This window comes from Homo sapiens, chromosome 16 (genome assembly GCF_000001405.40).
Source record: "Homo sapiens chromosome 16, GRCh38.p14 Primary Assembly".
In the NCBI taxonomy this organism is placed as follows: Eukaryota; Metazoa; Chordata; class Mammalia; order Primates; family Hominidae; genus Homo; species Homo sapiens.
Genome location: NC_000016.10, coordinates 80,100,633 through 80,118,647, shown reverse-complemented (window position 1 = coordinate 80,118,647; position 18,015 = coordinate 80,100,633). Strand labels below are relative to the sequence as shown.

The 18,015-nt window shown below is 40.1% G+C and overlaps 2 long non-coding RNA genes across 5 annotated transcripts in view; one reads left to right on the top strand and one right to left on the bottom strand.

Annotated features, from left to right (window-relative positions):
- The window catches only part of LOC105371357 (uncharacterized), a 117,137-nt gene that overhangs the window by 49,840 nt on the left and 49,282 nt on the right, over positions 1-18,015 (bottom strand). The window lies entirely within an intron of this gene.
- Positions 9,073-18,015, top strand: part of LOC105371358 (uncharacterized) — a 29,716-nt gene continuing 20,773 nt past the window's right edge. For 2 of the 3 annotated variants that reach the window (XR_933779.4, XR_933776.4), the window contains exons 1-2: positions 9,843-10,060; positions 10,519-10,718. This is a non-coding gene — a long non-coding RNA (uncharacterized LOC105371358). Of the gene's footprint in view, positions 9,212-9,842; positions 10,061-10,518; positions 10,719-18,015 lie in introns of those variants that run through there. The other variant, XR_933777.4, reaches the window with a different exon arrangement.

The following is an 18,015-nucleotide window of genomic DNA, read 5'->3' as shown; positions in this document are numbered from 1 at the left end:
TGTTTTTGGAGTCTCTCAGTTCAATGGGGACCTTTTTGCTTTTGAGCTAAAACCCATATTCTTTATCATAATTATCAAAGCTTCTCACAATCTAGCCTCAGTCTTCCCAGGGTCAAACTACTATGCTCTTTTAATATATAAAATTATGTCTATAAAGCACTCATTTTACAAAATGTCTTCATTGTTCCTTGCCCCATGTAATCACCTAGTTATCCTGGAAAAGCCAATACTAATGGTCCTTACTGTCTGCCTCTAGCGGAATCAGAATGAATTATTTCATCCCCCAGGCTCTTATAAAACCATAGAAATGAGGAGAAGGTGGAAAAGAAGGTGGAAACAAAGAGTCATTTTTGTGAATTGTGGGCAAGAGGGCAGGTCTGATGGCTTGAACCAACGATCAGATGAACACAGATTTAAGGAATCTGAAAATGTTTTTAAAAAATGTGTACACCCAAGCACACAAAAACACACACACATTGAAGTTAAAATGATACAAGCTTGGACTCAGACGTTATTCTTGTAGGAGGCTTTTTTCTCCATGTCTAAACTACACTGACTACCTGGAAACCTATAGATAATATCACTCCATTTAAATTTTTATTGCTATAGCATTTCTCGGAATACAAACCCTGTCTGCTGTATGCATATCCCATGCCAGCCTGCACATGGCAAGAGAAACTAAAGTATTGGCTAAATCTGAGTCATTCGAGGAGGCATGTTAGATACACATCTCCTTTTATCTTTTTGTCTTAAGGTATTCAGTAGGAAAGATCACATTAAACAAAAGGAAAGGAGGGTGAAGTAGAAAGATACAGAAGGGTTTTATGGAAGCCAAGAGGAAGAAGTGGAAGCCAGGCATAAGAGGAATGGGAGCCAAGACTGGAATATTGCCAATGGAAGTGAAGAAATCACCCCTTCCTGCCATCACATCAGCTTTTGAGTTTAATTCTCTACAGGTCTCTCTCTGCCCTCTTCTCTGTCTCACTGCATGCGGTACAAACATGACTAGACCATTGCAGACTACATTCTCAATGTCCACAGCTTAAGACTCAGTATGCTTACGTCCCAATTTTATTTTCTGAAGCAGGGAAGGATCTTATTAGTCCAGCTAACTACCAAAGATTCTTTCTGGGGCAAGTGATGGTTTTTGGTCCAAATGCACATGACCAATGTAGGAGGGAATAGGGACTTTGCTTGCCACCATGTGGTTTTGGAGGTCCCTTCATGGATCTTATAAGGGAGACATTCTCAGATAAAAGGTTGTGGGATGGATGGGAAGAGATCCAAAAATGCACACTAAGCTTTACAATTATGTTTTGATAGATGAGAAAATAGAAATGCAGAGACTTTATGTCTGTAGAAACTGGCTGACACACCTTGCATTGAACATGAAGACTGTCTTAGTGGGCTACAACCCAGTATCTACTTCAGCACTACTTTCACACAGTTTTCTGATTATTCCCAAATACAATTTTTGTTTCATCATAGAAAAACTATCATTATGACACAAACCACAGCCCCACTGACTTTAGGGTTGACAGATCAATTGAATGCCTAGCATATAACATCAAAAAAGACACTCCCCAAAACTCCTGGAGGGGGCATTGCTAACCTCTGGTGTTTCATAACCTGAAATGCATAAGGATAGAAGTCTATAGAAACATTTTATAAGAAGCAGTTTTCAAACAGGTGATTAATAGACCTGAAATTACTAGCAAAGGAGAGTTTAATTATCAAGAGCCAGAACAGTCATTCTTAAGCTTAAGCAATAATCTGTCATAGGGTGGATTCCAACATTTTCTTCATTTAGGAAAATATAAAAGAGCCCATCATAGTTCACCTCAAAGCATCAAATGACTTTTAAGCCTTCATTGAGAAACTTAAATGTCTATGTTGTGAAAAATAAAAAGGCAAATTCAAAAACAAAACAAAACAATGTGAAATCAATATTCTAATTGTATAAAATCATAGAGTCGGGATTTATTATGTGGATCTAATTTCAAAAAGTAAAGTTAGGAGAGGATTTACTGAAGCACAGAGAAAAGAGGACCACTTCAAAAGCTGTAAGCAAACTCCTTAAAAAGCACAGAAAAAGATACCTAACAGGTCCCCAGAAACAAGTTAATATAGGTGATCTCTAGTCATCTGCCTGTAAGAGAATTGGCTTAAATATTTATTTAATTGCCAGTCATGCTTAAATCAGTTTCCCAGGACTTGACAAAATGGGGAAACATTCTGACATATATTCTTCTGGAATAAAAGCAAAATTAAAAGGACTTAAGTTCAAGGAAAAAGGTGAGTCTGCATTGTCCTAAAGTTATGCTTAAAGGAGGAATTAATCTATTAGGGGCACTCAGTTCTAGAAACAATAATGCCCACAATGTGGAAAATAGAGAAGATTCAGTGTTTGTTTGTTTTGTTTAGTTTTGCTTTTTGAGATGGTATCTTGCTCTGTTGCCCAGGTTAGAGTGCAGTAGTGTGATCTCGGCTCACTGCAACCTCTGCCTCCCGGGTTCAAGTGATTCTCATACCTCAGCCTCCCGAATAGCTGGAATTACAGGCACCCATCACCATACCAGGCTACTTTTTTGTATTCTTAGTAGAGATGGGATTTCATCTCGTTGGTCAGGCTGGTCTCAAACTCCTGACCTCAGGTGATTTGCCTGCTGTGGCCTCTCAAAGTGCTGGGATTATAGGCGTGAGCCACCGTGCCCGGCGAAATTCAGTTTTTTCGGAGGGGTGGGGGAAGAAAATCAACAAGGAAGAATGATGTGGAGAACAGTATGCTCATACCCAACACTACCATGATCTGTTATCGACAATACCAGCAAATTATCCAGGAGGCTGGCTGGTTTGATGATAAGGAAGCTGTCACTTTCCCTGCTGAGATTGACACGCCTCATGACATCGGTATAATTGATGTCTGTTCAATGATACCCAGATCTGTCCCAGAATCTGTGCAGGAACATCTGATAGTTACATCCAACTTAAAAGTGAAATGCTAGGAAGGAGCGTGTCCAGATGGCCACAGATGTTCTCAGATAAAAAAAGAATTTTTAAAAAATTATTAAAAGCTGTTTAACAGATGCCATATTCAACAAAGGGATGGTTCATTGTTCATGCACTGATTTTGGAGAAATATTTGGGCTGTGCTGAACTGAATTGGGAGCAGTGGTTCTCAATACTCTAAGAGTAATTTGCCCTAACCCTGGCATAAGTTTCTGTGTGGTCAATACAGTTTCTACCAGGGAAAGCATAGCTTCCTTCTGGAACATCTGGGATCATTTGTTCAGCAAGAATGACAGTCTCTTCTTTTAGCTTCCATCATGAAGTCACCTCAAAGGAGGCTGAGCACCCCAGGGGTCAGATCTTTGCTCATACTGAAGTCTGCAAGGTACTCATTCCTGATCTAAAATCAAAGATAAATATGGCAGGTGGTAAACATGTCAAGTTGCACCAGAGAAAAATTCAGTATGAACTGTCTCTAGTAGACGCATGAACAAAAGGCTACAGAATGGCCAAGGGGAGAGTGACTGATTACACAGCAGTCAGGAGAGCTGCATACAGGACTTCTACTTAGGATAGAGGTCAGCACACTAAGGCCCATGAGCTGAATGTGACCTGCCACCTGTTCTTGTAAAAAAAATAAATAAATAAACAATAAAAGTTGTATTACAACACAGTCATGCTCCTTCCTTTACGTATTGTCTATGACTACTTTTGCATTACAATAGCAGAAGTGAGTAGTCATGACAGAAACTGTGTAGCCCACAAAACGAAAATATTTACTATCTGGCCCTTTACAGAAAAAAATGTGCTGATGCCTGGTTTAGGAACTCACTTTAGAGTCTCTCTTCTGTTAAGGTGACCTTCTTTCTTCATGGAAACCATAGCAACTTTTCTATCATCTCACTCATGAATTCATTTACTTATTCATCCTTCAACTAATATTTATTAAGTTTCTTTTTTTTCTCCAGTACAGTATTATTATTTGTTTTGGCACTTGCAAAGGTGAATAAAACTTAGTCTGTTATCAAAATGCTTAAGGCATAAGGAGTAAAGTATTTTGTATGCAGTGGATTTGGCTTCATTATCATTGCTTTTGTGGCAACAGTAGTGAATATTAACAACCACAGTATTAATAATTAATGTTTACTGAGCTCTTGCTATACATTACAATCTCAGTGGTAACTGCTTGACTTAGATCATCTCATTCATTCCAAACCCTGAGACCATGAGGTAGCCATTATCCCCGTGACACAGATGGGAACACTGAGGCTTATAAATATTGTGGCGTTTGTCCAAGGTCACATAATCAGAAAGTGATGGATTGCTAAATAAAACCCAGATTCACTGAAAGCAAAGTTCATGCTTTCATAATAGACAGATGTGTGTCTGACCTTCAGTTTCACTCAATATGTATTTTCTCTGTGCCTGATCTTCCCTTGACCTAGCTAGAGACAGGGAACACACAGGAATAATCACTAACCCTGAGGACCATGTGCTTTGGCGTTCTTGATCCTAACCTGAACACAGCATTGCCCTGGCCTCAGGCTCAGAAAGGCTGTGTCTGAGTTCCATCTCCTGAGTAACAAGCCCATGCAATAGCAATGCTTGGAGGACATTCAGCATTCCACAATCAGCTGCTACAACTCCTGAATATTCGTCTTTATCACAAGGAGGAACAGTGAGAAAATAGAATCTAATGACTTACATTTCTTGAATAAAGAACACAAACCCATTTGCTTCCACCTCACATTCTTTTACTCATTACTTTCTTTTAGAAAATGAAATTGGGGAATCCATATAATTATTTAGTGTCTGCTTACTTATTGGTAAACTTTGTTATTATCATACAGTCCCTTGCTCAGAGTGTTGACACTTCATAGCCTCTCCCAATCCTAAAGGAAAGCACCTGAATTTTCATTCTGGTTCCTTTGGATACTAAGGGCACAGAAGTTGCTTAAACAGCAGATAGGGTTTACTTGACAAAGCACTTTTAAACCCAAAAAGGCCCCATCCTCCCCACGAAGCAGATGCCTCTTAAATCAATCTCTGTGGAGTTGAATGGCAGGGTCTGTTACATCACTGTCAGCTTTCTTGCATCCACAGAGGATGAAACCTTCCCCTACCCGCCCCCGCCACCCCATACCTCTGAGATCTCTTCATTTAGAGGAAAGGAACTTAAGGAGAGAATGGACCCTCCATCCAGGAGTCAATGAAGGTCTCTAACAGAGAAGCCAGTCTCTCACAGACATTGTTGGTAGAGCACTCAATGGTACAACACACCCCCTTCCAATAGAAAGTCATTTTATTCCATTTTTAAATTTACATTTTATGTTTCTCATTTTCATAGGTAGCCCGTATCCCTCCAAGCACAGCATCAAAGATGGGTTTAATTTGGTCCTAAGAAAATTGTCTCCCAGCCAGTGATTGTTTCATAAAAGGCATGTGAATCCATCGTGCCACTGGGATACCAGTCACAGTTTGTCGGGGGCTTCCTCCCTCTTCTAGAAATTTCTACAGTTGCACTTTCCCACAAGGTAACCCCTTGACACAGATGGCTACTGAGCACTTGAAACATGGTGAATCCAAATTGACATCATCATCTCTCCAACACTTAGTATGAAAAAGGAATGCAAAATACCTTCTTAACTTTTTTCTTCACGGTTGATCATGTGTTGAAATGCTGGCATTTTACATATGTTGGGTTAAAGAAAATATATTTTAGGAAATTTAATTTCACTAGTTCCTTGTTTACATTTTTAAACATGAGTACTAGAAAACATATAGTGACATCTGAGACTCCTGTTCTTTTTCTACCAACAGAGCTGTTTTCGAGAGTCCCTCTCTTCTGAATATTGTTGTGTGCAGACAGGCCAGGAACTGCTGTGACCATCCTGCTGTCAGACTGAAGCCGGCAAGGGAGGAGGACCAAGTGAGAAGACGGGGCCGGAATCTGAGGTTCACGGAACCTCTGCACTTCCAGTTATGTGTCCCAGTCAACATCCTTACTATTCAAGCACGTTTGCAGTAGGGTTTTCTCTTACCTGCTGTTGAAAGCACTGATACTTGTATATGGCCTAGAGGCCTTATTTCCTGAGAGTTTAGGAAGTGGGTGCACTGAGTTATGGGTTTTAGATTACAATGCGGAAGAGAAAGCCTGGCACCTCCCAAATCTTGTGGCCAAGCTCCATAGGAGCCAGGCAATTAGCTAATGGATTCTGCCTCTTGGAGATGGGATATAAAGGTGCTTCTCAGACCACCAAACAATCAGTGATGCCCTAGAGCTGAGAGCCCCCATTGAGAATAAACTCCTGCAAGGGGACTGTGGCACAAACAGAGCACAAGCCTCCTGGCCTCAGCACCCCCTTTACCCATACCTGGAGGAAAAATGAGGCTTAGTCAACCTGAACAGAGGGCACTAGTATGCTGGTGGCTTCCTTTTCCTTTGCTCCTCCCTGGCAACCCACCCCTCTGCACTCCATTCCCTGCTCTGGAAGGCAGCATTCATCAACAAAATCCTCACTGTCTGGCTCTCAGTTAGGTTCAACCAATGGAAGCATCAGTAAGGAAACAAGAAAAAGAGAGAAGTGTGTGGTTGGGGTGTTTATTCTTCTGGCTCCCTCCCTGCGGGTCAAGAGAAGCTGCTGCTTCTTACTCACCATCACAGCATCCATTATGTGGTTCTCTCCCTCCAGGTGTCATACAACCCCTCCCCCCTTTCCTTGTTCCTTCAGGTCTAACAACAGTAATGGTGCCTCCTTGGTGCTAAACCTTGTGATTTACTTAGACCTTGATCATACCTTTATCAGTAGTCTTTTTATTAAGCCTTCTTCCAATGTTCCAAGTTGATTATGTTTGGAACATTGCAAGATTATGATTATCTCTTTTAGTCTCCTTGACTTTCTTTTGAGCAGATTATAGTACTATGTCACCAAGGTCTCAAAATGCCAGATTCCAAAATGAAGGCTGTCCTCTGAGCAGAGAGTAGGAATGTGACTAGTGGACTAGGACAGGAAGATGAAGGGAGTTGGCTCAAGGAACAAGCCACATGGGGTAGAAGAGGGCAGAGGGACCCGTCCCACTGATGGTGACTTGATTTTCGACCTATCAACATGGAGAGCCAGGGAGTGTAGGTTGCAATGTCCCAATCTTTACTCTTGGCTTGTGATCTGCAACGTCTATCTGCAAATATCAGTGATATATGGGATCTTTAGGCTGCTGCATAGAGTTTCTAGGACCTTGTTCCAAAGATTTTAAACATATAGTGAGTTCATATTGAATGAGATTCCTGGCAATGCCAACTGAGCTGTAATTAGGGAGTGTGTGTTGACTGTTTAGGATTCAGGTCGCTATAGTATGTGATAATATGATGGCCTGATTCAGCTCAGAGCAAAACTGGAAGGTTCAAATAGTTTGATTTAAGCCTGTAGCCCGAGCTACTTGGGAGGCTCAGGCAGGAGGATCACTTGAGCCCGGGAGTTCAAGGCTGTAGTATGCTATGATTGCACCTGTGGATAAGCACTGCACTACAGCCCGGGCCACAAAGTGAGATCCCATCTCCAAAAAACTAAAAAGAGAAAGTTTGATTGTAGCATCCTTACCTACCCCTCTCAACTCCACTATGTTTCTTTCATGCTCACAAACTTTCACCTCTTCTTTCTTTTACCTCTTAAGTTTCCCAATCCTTGATGTCCATTGACACTGTATTTTTCAAATGTTAGTCATTCCTTTATATACCACTTTAAGATTTTTGCCAAATAATCCTAACCAATATTTATTTCTTTAATATATTCTTAAACTGACTTGTTTTTAAAAACTTTACATTACTTAAATGCCTTGTCCCAAATATATGTATGAAATCACAGATTTGATAAGAGTTATAGTTATACTGTTTTTCATATACATACAAATACATAATATCTGTATGTATATCAAAGTATACATACATACACATACATAATATCTGTATGTATATGAAAGTATATGTATGTACATGAAAGTATAGCATACTGTTTCTTTTTCATATACATACAGATACATAATACATAATAATGATAAGAAGAAAATTCTGTACCAACTAAATAATCCCAGGTATTCCTTGTTTTCTGGGTGCCCCAGCTCAAGGTACACAGTTATTAGACAGATTCTAGGGCATATCTCCGTGTGGTGATGGAAATGTTTATATCTGTGCCGTCCAACACAGCAGCCACTAACCACATGTAACTATTCACACCAGAAATGTGGCAAATGCAACCATGGAACTAGATTTTTTAAATGCAATTTTAATTAACATAAATTTAAATTTAACATGTTATGAGAGACAATGATAACGGCAAGCATGCCTCTGGAGTATCTGTGTTTAAAAACACATCATAGTAGAAAAAATGAACCTTGGGCCAGATACTGTGTTACTCCATGAGCATTTTAATAGGTCTATTTTCTTACTTGTTCTTAAGAACCTTGTGAGAGAGATATTACCTCATTCTGGTGGTAGGCACAAGTCAAAGATGGGTGGGAAGAATTTCCAGTGGGTCCTTAAATAAAAAACAATGAAGCCATTCTCTGTTATTTAAACAGAGAGAGAGAGAGAGCTGTAAGTGAGCAAATTGTCAACCCATCCCAACTACATTCAAGATTTAAAAGGTTGACATTTCCTTTTTTCTTCTCTCTTTTTTTAAACACCAGCCCTCCTCATTAACCAGATATCTTTATTCTCTAAATATTTACCACCCAAACAAAATTTACCATTTAATTTGCTGTATAAAATCATTTACTGACTGATAAACCTCATTACTAAGCTCCAACACAGCCCCTTCTACTCCCGACAGTTTTAATTCTTGTAGCAGCAGGCTACTGCGAGAGAAAAACAATCCTGTCAAATTAACGGCGGGGGTCTAAATTATTCAAATACACTAAATCCATGCAGAACCGTTCCCCTGCTCATAATTTTTCTTTGGGAGCCAACAATTAACCGGCAATATTCTAACTTAAACAATGACGGCCATTCTAAAAGAATTCTGGGAACAGAGAATGTTCCACCTTCCCATGTGTCCTTCTGCTCCTGAGGGCACGCAAAGGATGACCTCTGAATGAGTCCCCATAGAAAGAGGAGGTTTTCTCTGCCCAAACACCTCACCTCTTCAGAGCGTAAATCCTCTGTGTCTTTCCTGCCATGCAGGTCAGAGACTGCATTTTGGATATCAAGGTGTGTGTCTGCGTGCGTCTAGCCTCTACAACAGGTGTGTGTCAGCCTGCAATTAGTTAATGGCAGATGCACCTTTCTGCCTGTGGGGGAAAAAGTGCCTCCAGTTTTCTACCTGCAATTGCAACCAAACTAATGACTGAGCTGCTGATTCAGAAAACCAACCCACCTAATTGAGCCTGCAAAATAGAAAAAGAAGAAATCGCAAAATGACCTGAGGTTCAGAACATATGGCAGGAAGCCCTCTCACGTTTGAAAAGAAAATCTTTCCCACCATGTTGGCTCTCAGTCACAATCTGCACACAGGAGGGTCTTGGGTGTTGGTGGGCATTGTTTGTTGGTCTAATTCCCTATGGTTTGCAGCTCCCTAACAGTGACGGATCCCTAAGCATGACACCCAATGTCAGAGTTCTTGAATAGAACAAAAATTAGGAGGTTGAGCTTGACAGTTCATGCATGCACACATTCATTTTTTCATCAAATATTTATTGAGTGTCAACTCTCTGCCAAGCACATGGTACCTAGCATCACAGTGCTAAATGTGGAAACAAAAGTGAAAGAATGATACTTCATAATGGGCTTAGCCTTTTACATCAGGGTTGATCAGAATGTGTGAACCAGAATCACCTCCAAGGTCTGTTAAAAATAAAGATGAATTAGACTCACCTTAGACAGATTGACTCAAAATCTCTGGAGGGAACCCAGGAACCTTCATTCTAACAAGAACCCCCAGGTGGTTCTTAGCACTTCAAAGTTGGGGAGCCTCTGCTTCCATCGGAAAGCATCAAGCAACAATGGCCATAATAGAAATGCTACTATCAATGGGACAGAAAAGATACCTGGGAAAGATTGGTGAGGGATGCAGTGGGCGCCATACCCAGGGTCCTCACTTAGAGCCGGCCTAGAGTTAAAGAGGTGTGGGTGGTGCAGCATGAGCCAGGCCTGTTTGCGTAACTCCAAGGGGCACCTTTCTCACCATAAACAATGGTAGCCCTCCCCAGTGTGTTGATGGGGGCCTTGTTTTTCTGTTATTATTCGTTCACAATTTTGTTTTCTTAAACATTTTATTTTACAGTAGTTTTAGATTTATGAAAAAGTTGCAAGGAAACTACAGATCGTCTCTATACCTTGCACTCATTTTCCGTTTTTAACATTTTGCATTAATGTGGGCCCTTTGTCACAACTGATGAATCAATATTGATACATTATGATTCACTGATCTCTCCACTTTCCTTGGATTTTCTTAGTTCTTAGTATCCTTTTCCCACCTAGGATCTCACATTACATTTAGTCATCATTGTCTCCTTCAGCTCCTGTTGGCTGTGACAGCTTCTCTGACTTTGTTTGTGATGACTTCGAGAGTCTTAAGGAGAAATCATCGGCTATTTTGTAGAATGGCCCTCAAGTGTGGTTTTGGCAGGTGATTTTCTCATGATTGGACTGGGGTTGTGGGTTTTTGGAAGGAAGAATACAGACATAGTCATTTCCATAACATCCATTCACTTCAAAGGTATGTATTAGCAACATGACTTATTTTTATTTATTTTTTATTGTTATATAATAGTTGTATATTATTTGGGAGTACATGTGATAATGTTTTGATACCTGAATACAATGCATAATAATCAAATCAGGGTAACTGGGATATCCATTACCTCAAATGTTTATCTTTGTGTGCGTGTGTGTGTGTGTGTGTGTGTGTGTGTGTGTGTGTGTTGAGAGCACTACAAATACCTTCTAGGTTTTTTAAAACAGACAATAAATTATTGTTAACTATAATTTTCCTACTGTACCATCAAATACTAGAATTTATTTCTTCTCAGTGTATTTTTGTACTCTTTAACCAACTGCTCTTCATCCTCTTTCCCCTCTTCCTTTCCCAGTCTCTGATAACCACCATTCTACTCTCTACCTCTATGAGATTTTTTTTTTTTTTAGCTCCCACATAAGCGTGAGAACATGTGATATTTGTCCTTCCTTGCCTGGCTTATTTCACTTAACATAATGACCTCCAGTTCTATCCATGTTGCTGCAAAATGACAAGATTTCATTCTTTTTTATGGCTAATATGCCATTGTGTATATGCACCATTTTCTTTATTCATTCATCCATTGATGGGCACTTAGCTTGCTTTCATATCTTTGCCATTGTAAATATTGCTGCAGTAAACATGTCAATTTACTTCTCTAAGTCCCACCACACAAGAGAGCACAGGATGCCACAGTGTCTCAGGATATAGATCCTTCATCCAGACTGGGACATGTGGGAAACTTTCTGAAAGGAGGCAGCTTTTTAGCTGAGTCCTGAAGAATTGATGACTGCTTTTAACATGCATCTACTGAGTGTCCTAGTACAGGCTGAACATTAAGAACACAATGCAGAAAAAACAAAAAAAAAGACAAGGCCAATGGTCTCATGGAGACCCCAGTGAAGTGAGGGATTCAGGCATTTAGTAACGTAAATGGCAGTTAATCAGGCGGAGACACTGTGTTTCAGTCCTGAAATTTTGCCTGCAAAGGTTTCCTTCAGTTCTCACATCTCTGCATCCATCAAGCCCCTCTGGGAGGATGCTCTGTAAAGATTTCAAAGCCCCTGGCTTACCTGGAGCTGTGTGCTGATTCCTGTGCATGGAGCACAGTGGAGAGTGGAGGGGATGTGGGTGCCAAGTGGAACAACATCCATTTGATCCTTTTATATGTAAATGTGACTTTAAACAGTATTTTGTAATGACCTGCATTTCTGTTAAGAAATATCTCTTGATGATTTATCTTTCTGCAATTATGACAGCCTAGTGATCTTGTTAATTAATGCCAAGGAGGGTTTTTTAGCACCTCATTAAAGGTTTTCCCTTTCAGGACACTGATGCCGATGCTCTCATACACAGCCAGGGGCAGAGAAAGCCATTTTCTTGTGGGTGGAAACTCATCTTTATTCCTTCTCTTCTTCCTTTTCCTCCCCCTCTTCTTTTGATAATATTTCTTTCCTTATTTTTTGCCTCCTCTTCTTTCTCCTCATCCTGAGTTCTCTTCTAGTCTCCTTTTTATTTTATTCTAAAACATAGTTGCTTCTTGTTCTGAATCATTGTTTCAAATATATCAACTCTCATCAGTGTATTTCATTCTCCTGGAAAGACTTTTTTGTTGTACTACTTAATTCCATGTGTTCTATTCAACAAATTTTGTTTGAGAGTCTTCTGTGTTCCGAGTTCCCTTATTTTCCCTTATATTCCCATATATCCATTATTTCCCTTATATTCTCCGAGTTTGCCTTCATGAAACAATAGTGAACCAGAGTCATGCCTTGCTGGTGGAACTCCTAATTTTGTCCCATAAAAATAACAAATGAATGAATGAATGGAGGGATTCTGTGATCCAATAAATGTGGTTAATGTTGTATATCCTATCCTTGCAGGCTGTCAAATTCTGGCAAATCCTACCCCCCTGCTTGTTTTTGTAAACAAAATCTTCTTGGAACACAGCTACACCTCTTCATTTATATATTGTTTGTGGCTGCTTTTCTGCTGCAATGGCAGGGTTGAGTACTTGCGACAAAGACCATTTGGCCTGCAAAGCCTAAAATATTTACCATCTGGCCCTTTACAGAAAAAGTTCACTGACCCTGCTGTATCCCATCTTTGGACATTCTGGATGCCCATTAAATATTTAAAGAGTGAAATATTCTGCAGTCAGAAAACTTGCTTAATTCTTTCCCACCCATTTCCCCCTCCCTCATATTTGATCATAGAAGCCTCTTTCAATTCACCTTCTTAGATACTGACTTGGGGACATTTTTCTTGGAGGTAATGTTCAGCCTTGAAGATTCTCTTTTCTGACTGATTTTAATTTGGTTTTCTCATCTTCCTGGCTTTGTCTTCTGGCTTGATGTGCAGTAGAACCTAGTGTTTTACCCCCAGATAATACAAACCTGCACCCCGCCCCCGTTTCTTAGCCTCTGTGAAAACATCTTTCTGTTCAGTCATGACAGCAAGGATTCTCCTTGGCTCCTGTCAAACACCATTTCTCTTTCCAGGAGCAATGATGTCCGGAAACCAAGTTACCACGAATGGCAAAGCAAGTTAGACTGGTTTTCTGTTCATGAGTTTCCACTCTTGTCTCAGCTGACTCATCTCAAGGAGAACTCATTTTTGTTGTGATTCATTATTCTGAGCATTTTTTGAAGCCAAGAGTAAACTGGGATGACTTTGAGGATCAGCCAGCCTTAAAGAAAGGGGGCATAGTAATGTAGAGAAATCCCGGAAGGCATAGATTTCCCCTAAGATTCAGAGTGGACCTGGGAGAGCTATGGAAGGGGAGATATTCTCCCTTATCCTGAAAACAGGGAGGTGGTGTGGGGAGAAAACAAACGAACAAACAAAAACACTAGGATTAAAATTTGGTGCTTGGAGAGTAGGGTGAACGTAGAAATAAGTTCCCACGTCACTTTCCAGTTCTATGTAAATGAGGCCTGAAGGGAATGCTGGGAATGAGGTGGGAGGTGGAGGCAGGTATCTTTTCACCAGGGTTAGTGGGGATGTAGTGAATCAACAGATGTCAGCCACAGAAATAAGAGGAAGGTGTTGTCAGAGCCACGCCAATAACTGTAGGTCTAAGGGAACAGATTGAAGTCAAGGGCCAATGCACAAAGCCCACTCTAAGTGTGGCAGGCAGAATTGTAAAAAAATATTTTCCCCAAGTCTTCAAGATTTCCTGCTCTAATCTCCAGGAATATAAATATGCTGGCTATTACTCCCATGATTTTGTTACATTAACATGACAAAAGGGATTTTGCGGATGTAATTAACATTACCAATTCTTTGACTTGAAGATAGGAAGATTAGCAATTTTCTCCAGTTGGTGGCAGGAGAGGAAGTTAGAAAGATTTGACTCACAAGAAGGATTTGATGCACTGCTGCTGACTTTGACAATGGAGGGATTGGAGCACAGCCTCTTGGAGCTGAGAGCGGCTTCCGCTGATGGTAGCCAAGAAATGGAGACCTCCATTCTATATCACAAGGAACTAAATACTGCCAACAACCTAAATGTGCCTGGAAACATGCTCTTCCCCAGAACCTTCAGATGGGAGTCCACCCCGGCAGAGTCTAAAACATTTACTATCAGGCTGCTTCAAAAAATGGTTGCTGACTTCTGATTTAGTCCATTTTGGGGACTTTTGTGGTAGATCAGATCTAGCCAGAAGAAGTTATTTTTCCTAGATCACATATAAATAAATGCAGAGTGGGTATATAAATCCAGATTTCCTGAATCTCAGAGTTAGAAGGGCTCCTGGAAACACCTTGGAAATGTTGCAATAAAGAAAAGAAAGGAGCCCAGGAGCATGAATAAGGGAGAAGCTATGAATGGAAGGGCATGGAAAAAGAAGTCGGCCATGGCACAGATTAGGGGAGACTATGCCAAGGCCAATTTGGAGGAATAGTCAAAGAACACGTGGGCGGGAGGACGCAGATAAGTCGTGAGCTGAGATGGGCAGACAAACCAACCAAGGATTAGAAGTGGAGTGAAGATGGAGATAGCAAAAGTGCAAAAAGCGCATAAAGAGCAACCTCCTCTGGGAAAACCCCATGTAAACTAACACCTGAAATATGAATCCTAGCAGCATGAGAGTAAGTGGGTGGGGGTGGTGGACGGATGGCGGGCTACCGAGTGTTACAGGCACCGAGAAAAGTGGATACAAAGCCCCAAGGAAAGACATGGCATGCAGTGATTGAGAAACAAAAAGAAACTCAGTGTGGATCATTCAGTCTGAACATTTTCTGAATCTGACCTCACTCCAGGTGAGGCAACTCCCCCTGGTCATCCCCAAGCTAAACTTGTAGCTGCGACTTGTCAGCGACATGGATTTGTTTGAGCAAGTCTTCCACATATGGGAAGAAGACACTAACTCATTGTTCTGATTTGTGCTTTAACAAATGAAATGGGGCTGGGCGTGGTAGCTCATGCCTGTAATCCCAGCACTTTAGGAGGCTGAGGCAGGCAGATCACAAGGTCAGGAGTTTGAGACCAGCCTGGCCAACATGGTGAAACCCGTCTCTACTAAAAATATAAAAATTAGCCAGGCATGGTGGCACAGGCCTGTAATCCCAGTTACTCGGGAGGCTAAGGCAGGAGAATCACTTGAACCCAGGAGGCAGAAGTTGCAGTGAGCCAAGATTGTGCCACTGCACCCCAGCCTGGGTGACACAGTGAGACTCAGTCTCAGAAAAAAAAAAAAAAAAAAAAGAAAGAAAGAAAGAAAAAAGAAAACAAAGAAACAGAACAAAACAAAAAATTCCTGATGTTAACCATCTGAAGCCACCAGGTTCTGCTGTGAGCTATATTATTTTGCCTATAATTCAGCCAAAATAATATAGCTTTTTTAGATTAAGGGAATATATTGAAAATAATATTGGAGCCGTTTTAGTTAAACCACATTCATCAGTGTTGTACTGATTGATCTTAGAAATATATAAATAGAATAATAGTGACGAATGGGTGAAGATGTTATTATCTTTTTCTGATAAGTTTGGTTAGAGAGACTTAAAAGAACTAAAGGTCTTAAATTCAATTTTTGGCTCTTCAAAGAGATCCAGCAATTAATATAAACAAGAAACAGAGAAGCTGATTTTCTTTTTGGTGCTATTTGTTGATCTTTTACTCTTCATGTAATATCACTGAGTCTCATTGTTAGTATTCTAGTACTCAACCACTAGATTAAGGAACTGTTCTAAAACTTATATTCACTAATTTTTTGAAATTTTATTGCATATTCTAATTTGAACAGAAACCTAAGACTAGAGTTTCACTTATTACAATGATTCCCCTATAGCAGGAATAAACATGGAATTTAAACGCAATTTTCTTCCCAAAGCTACACTACTTCTTCAGACAAACATTCACCGAATTCACTGAAACGTCAAAAGCAAGCCTGTTATAGAAGCTTATAGCAAAGTCTGACACGTTCTGGAAAATTCTCCAATGGAACAACAGAGAGGGCTCCAAGGCTAAAATTTAAACTATTTTCCTGAAAGTTTAATTTCCATGGCTTGATTTCATAAAAAGCAGTTTTCATCATGGTTTTTAGTTTGCTCCTAATTGAAAGGGAAAATTCTCCCCCTGAGAGATTCTCCCCAGATGGCTGTCTTTGACAGTGATATGTCTCCCTCTTGGCCAGAAGCCACAGAAATGGGTCCCCCTCATGTTAGATCATTAATTGTTCTTCATCAGGTCTACACACACTAAGCTGAGAATCTAGGCAATTATGCAAATAAGTGAAGCAAAAACCAATGCATGTGCTCCAGTAAGCCACGATTCTCATTGACAGTAGCTTTGACTTGACTTGTCCAGATAATTGCTTCAAGTTCCCCACTGCAAAATGTGTGAGCTCCTTCAGAGAGTGTGTGATTTTTTTTTTGATGATGCCACCATCTTCTTAAATAGAAGAGGTGTGGGGAGGGATGGGTAATGATGGTCTTTGTTTAAAACAAAAACAACCTCTGTTAGTTTGGGTTGCCTGAGAAGCTGACCCTGAGGCAAGAATTCAAATGAACATGCACATGGTTTATCCAGGAGGTGATCCCAGAAAACATGAATAGATAGACGATTGGGAAAGTGAAACAGCAAATTACCTCTGTGAGTAAAAAGCTTACTCCTACTGAGGAACTCTGAGAACCAGTGTAGAACTCTGCTTAGAGTTCCCACCTGACAGAGATACACAGATACCCAGCAGTCATTGTTGAGTGCTTTAACTGGGGGCATTAACACTTTAACACTTGGGGCAGAATGGACTCTGACCTACAAAGCTCTTAGGCAAAGAGATGCAAATGCTGGCCTAAGAAGTTTGGCTGGCAGGCCCTACAATGATAAATCCCAAAGTGATATTTATAGGATGCCAACTTTACCCCCAGACTTCAAGCCAAAACCCCTCAATTTTTGTGACCCCTGGTCTGAATCCATTTTTCTTCCATTCTCTGCTTTCAAAATAAAGCTAGATGTTTGGAGATGAACTTGAAGGGTTGTGATTCTCCTGGAGAAGGTAGACATGTACAGAACTTTGTAATCTATTTGCAAAGCTAAAGTTATTTGAGACATTCTGGTTAAAACAGTCACCAAAATGATGTATGAGTCTAGTGACTCCTCTTGGGAAACCAATTCTAAAATGCTACCTATTCTTACTCTCAGATACCATTTTTGTTTTCTGTTTTGAATATTAAAACTGAAAGATCCCATGCACCTGGTCTTTGATTTGTATGTCTTTCAGCAGCCTTTGGCTCAAGGTAATATAATTCTGACTAAACTATTTTCTTTGGGAGGCTACACTTGTAACCAGGCCAAGCCAAATCAACAAGTGTTTATTTAGCACTTGGTATATATCATGGTTACAGAAGGTAAATACTTCTAAACCACTTGCTGTGTTATCTGTTGTAAGACAACCATTTTTTCCCCTCATTTTCTGTGGTATTATTGGCAAATAAGGCAGGAAATGAAAAGAGAGCTAACAATGGACTTGTGGGATGGAAAACATAATTTCTTTCTCAGCATTTTGGTTCACATAATATTCTTAGAAAACTCAAATATATAGAACTCAGGAATTTTCACTAAAAATATTTACCACAGGATTCTTTATTATTTCAATGACAAATTCTTTTAGGAATATGTGAGAATATTAGATTTATCCAAATTTGATGTTGTACAGAAATCTAGGGTAATCTTTTATCTCTAAGGTCTACATGTATACACAAAGACCCAGAAAATAGTTTCTAAGGAAGTAGCCCTTGCATGTCATTCTTATTAGCTTGAAAATAATTTCTCTCA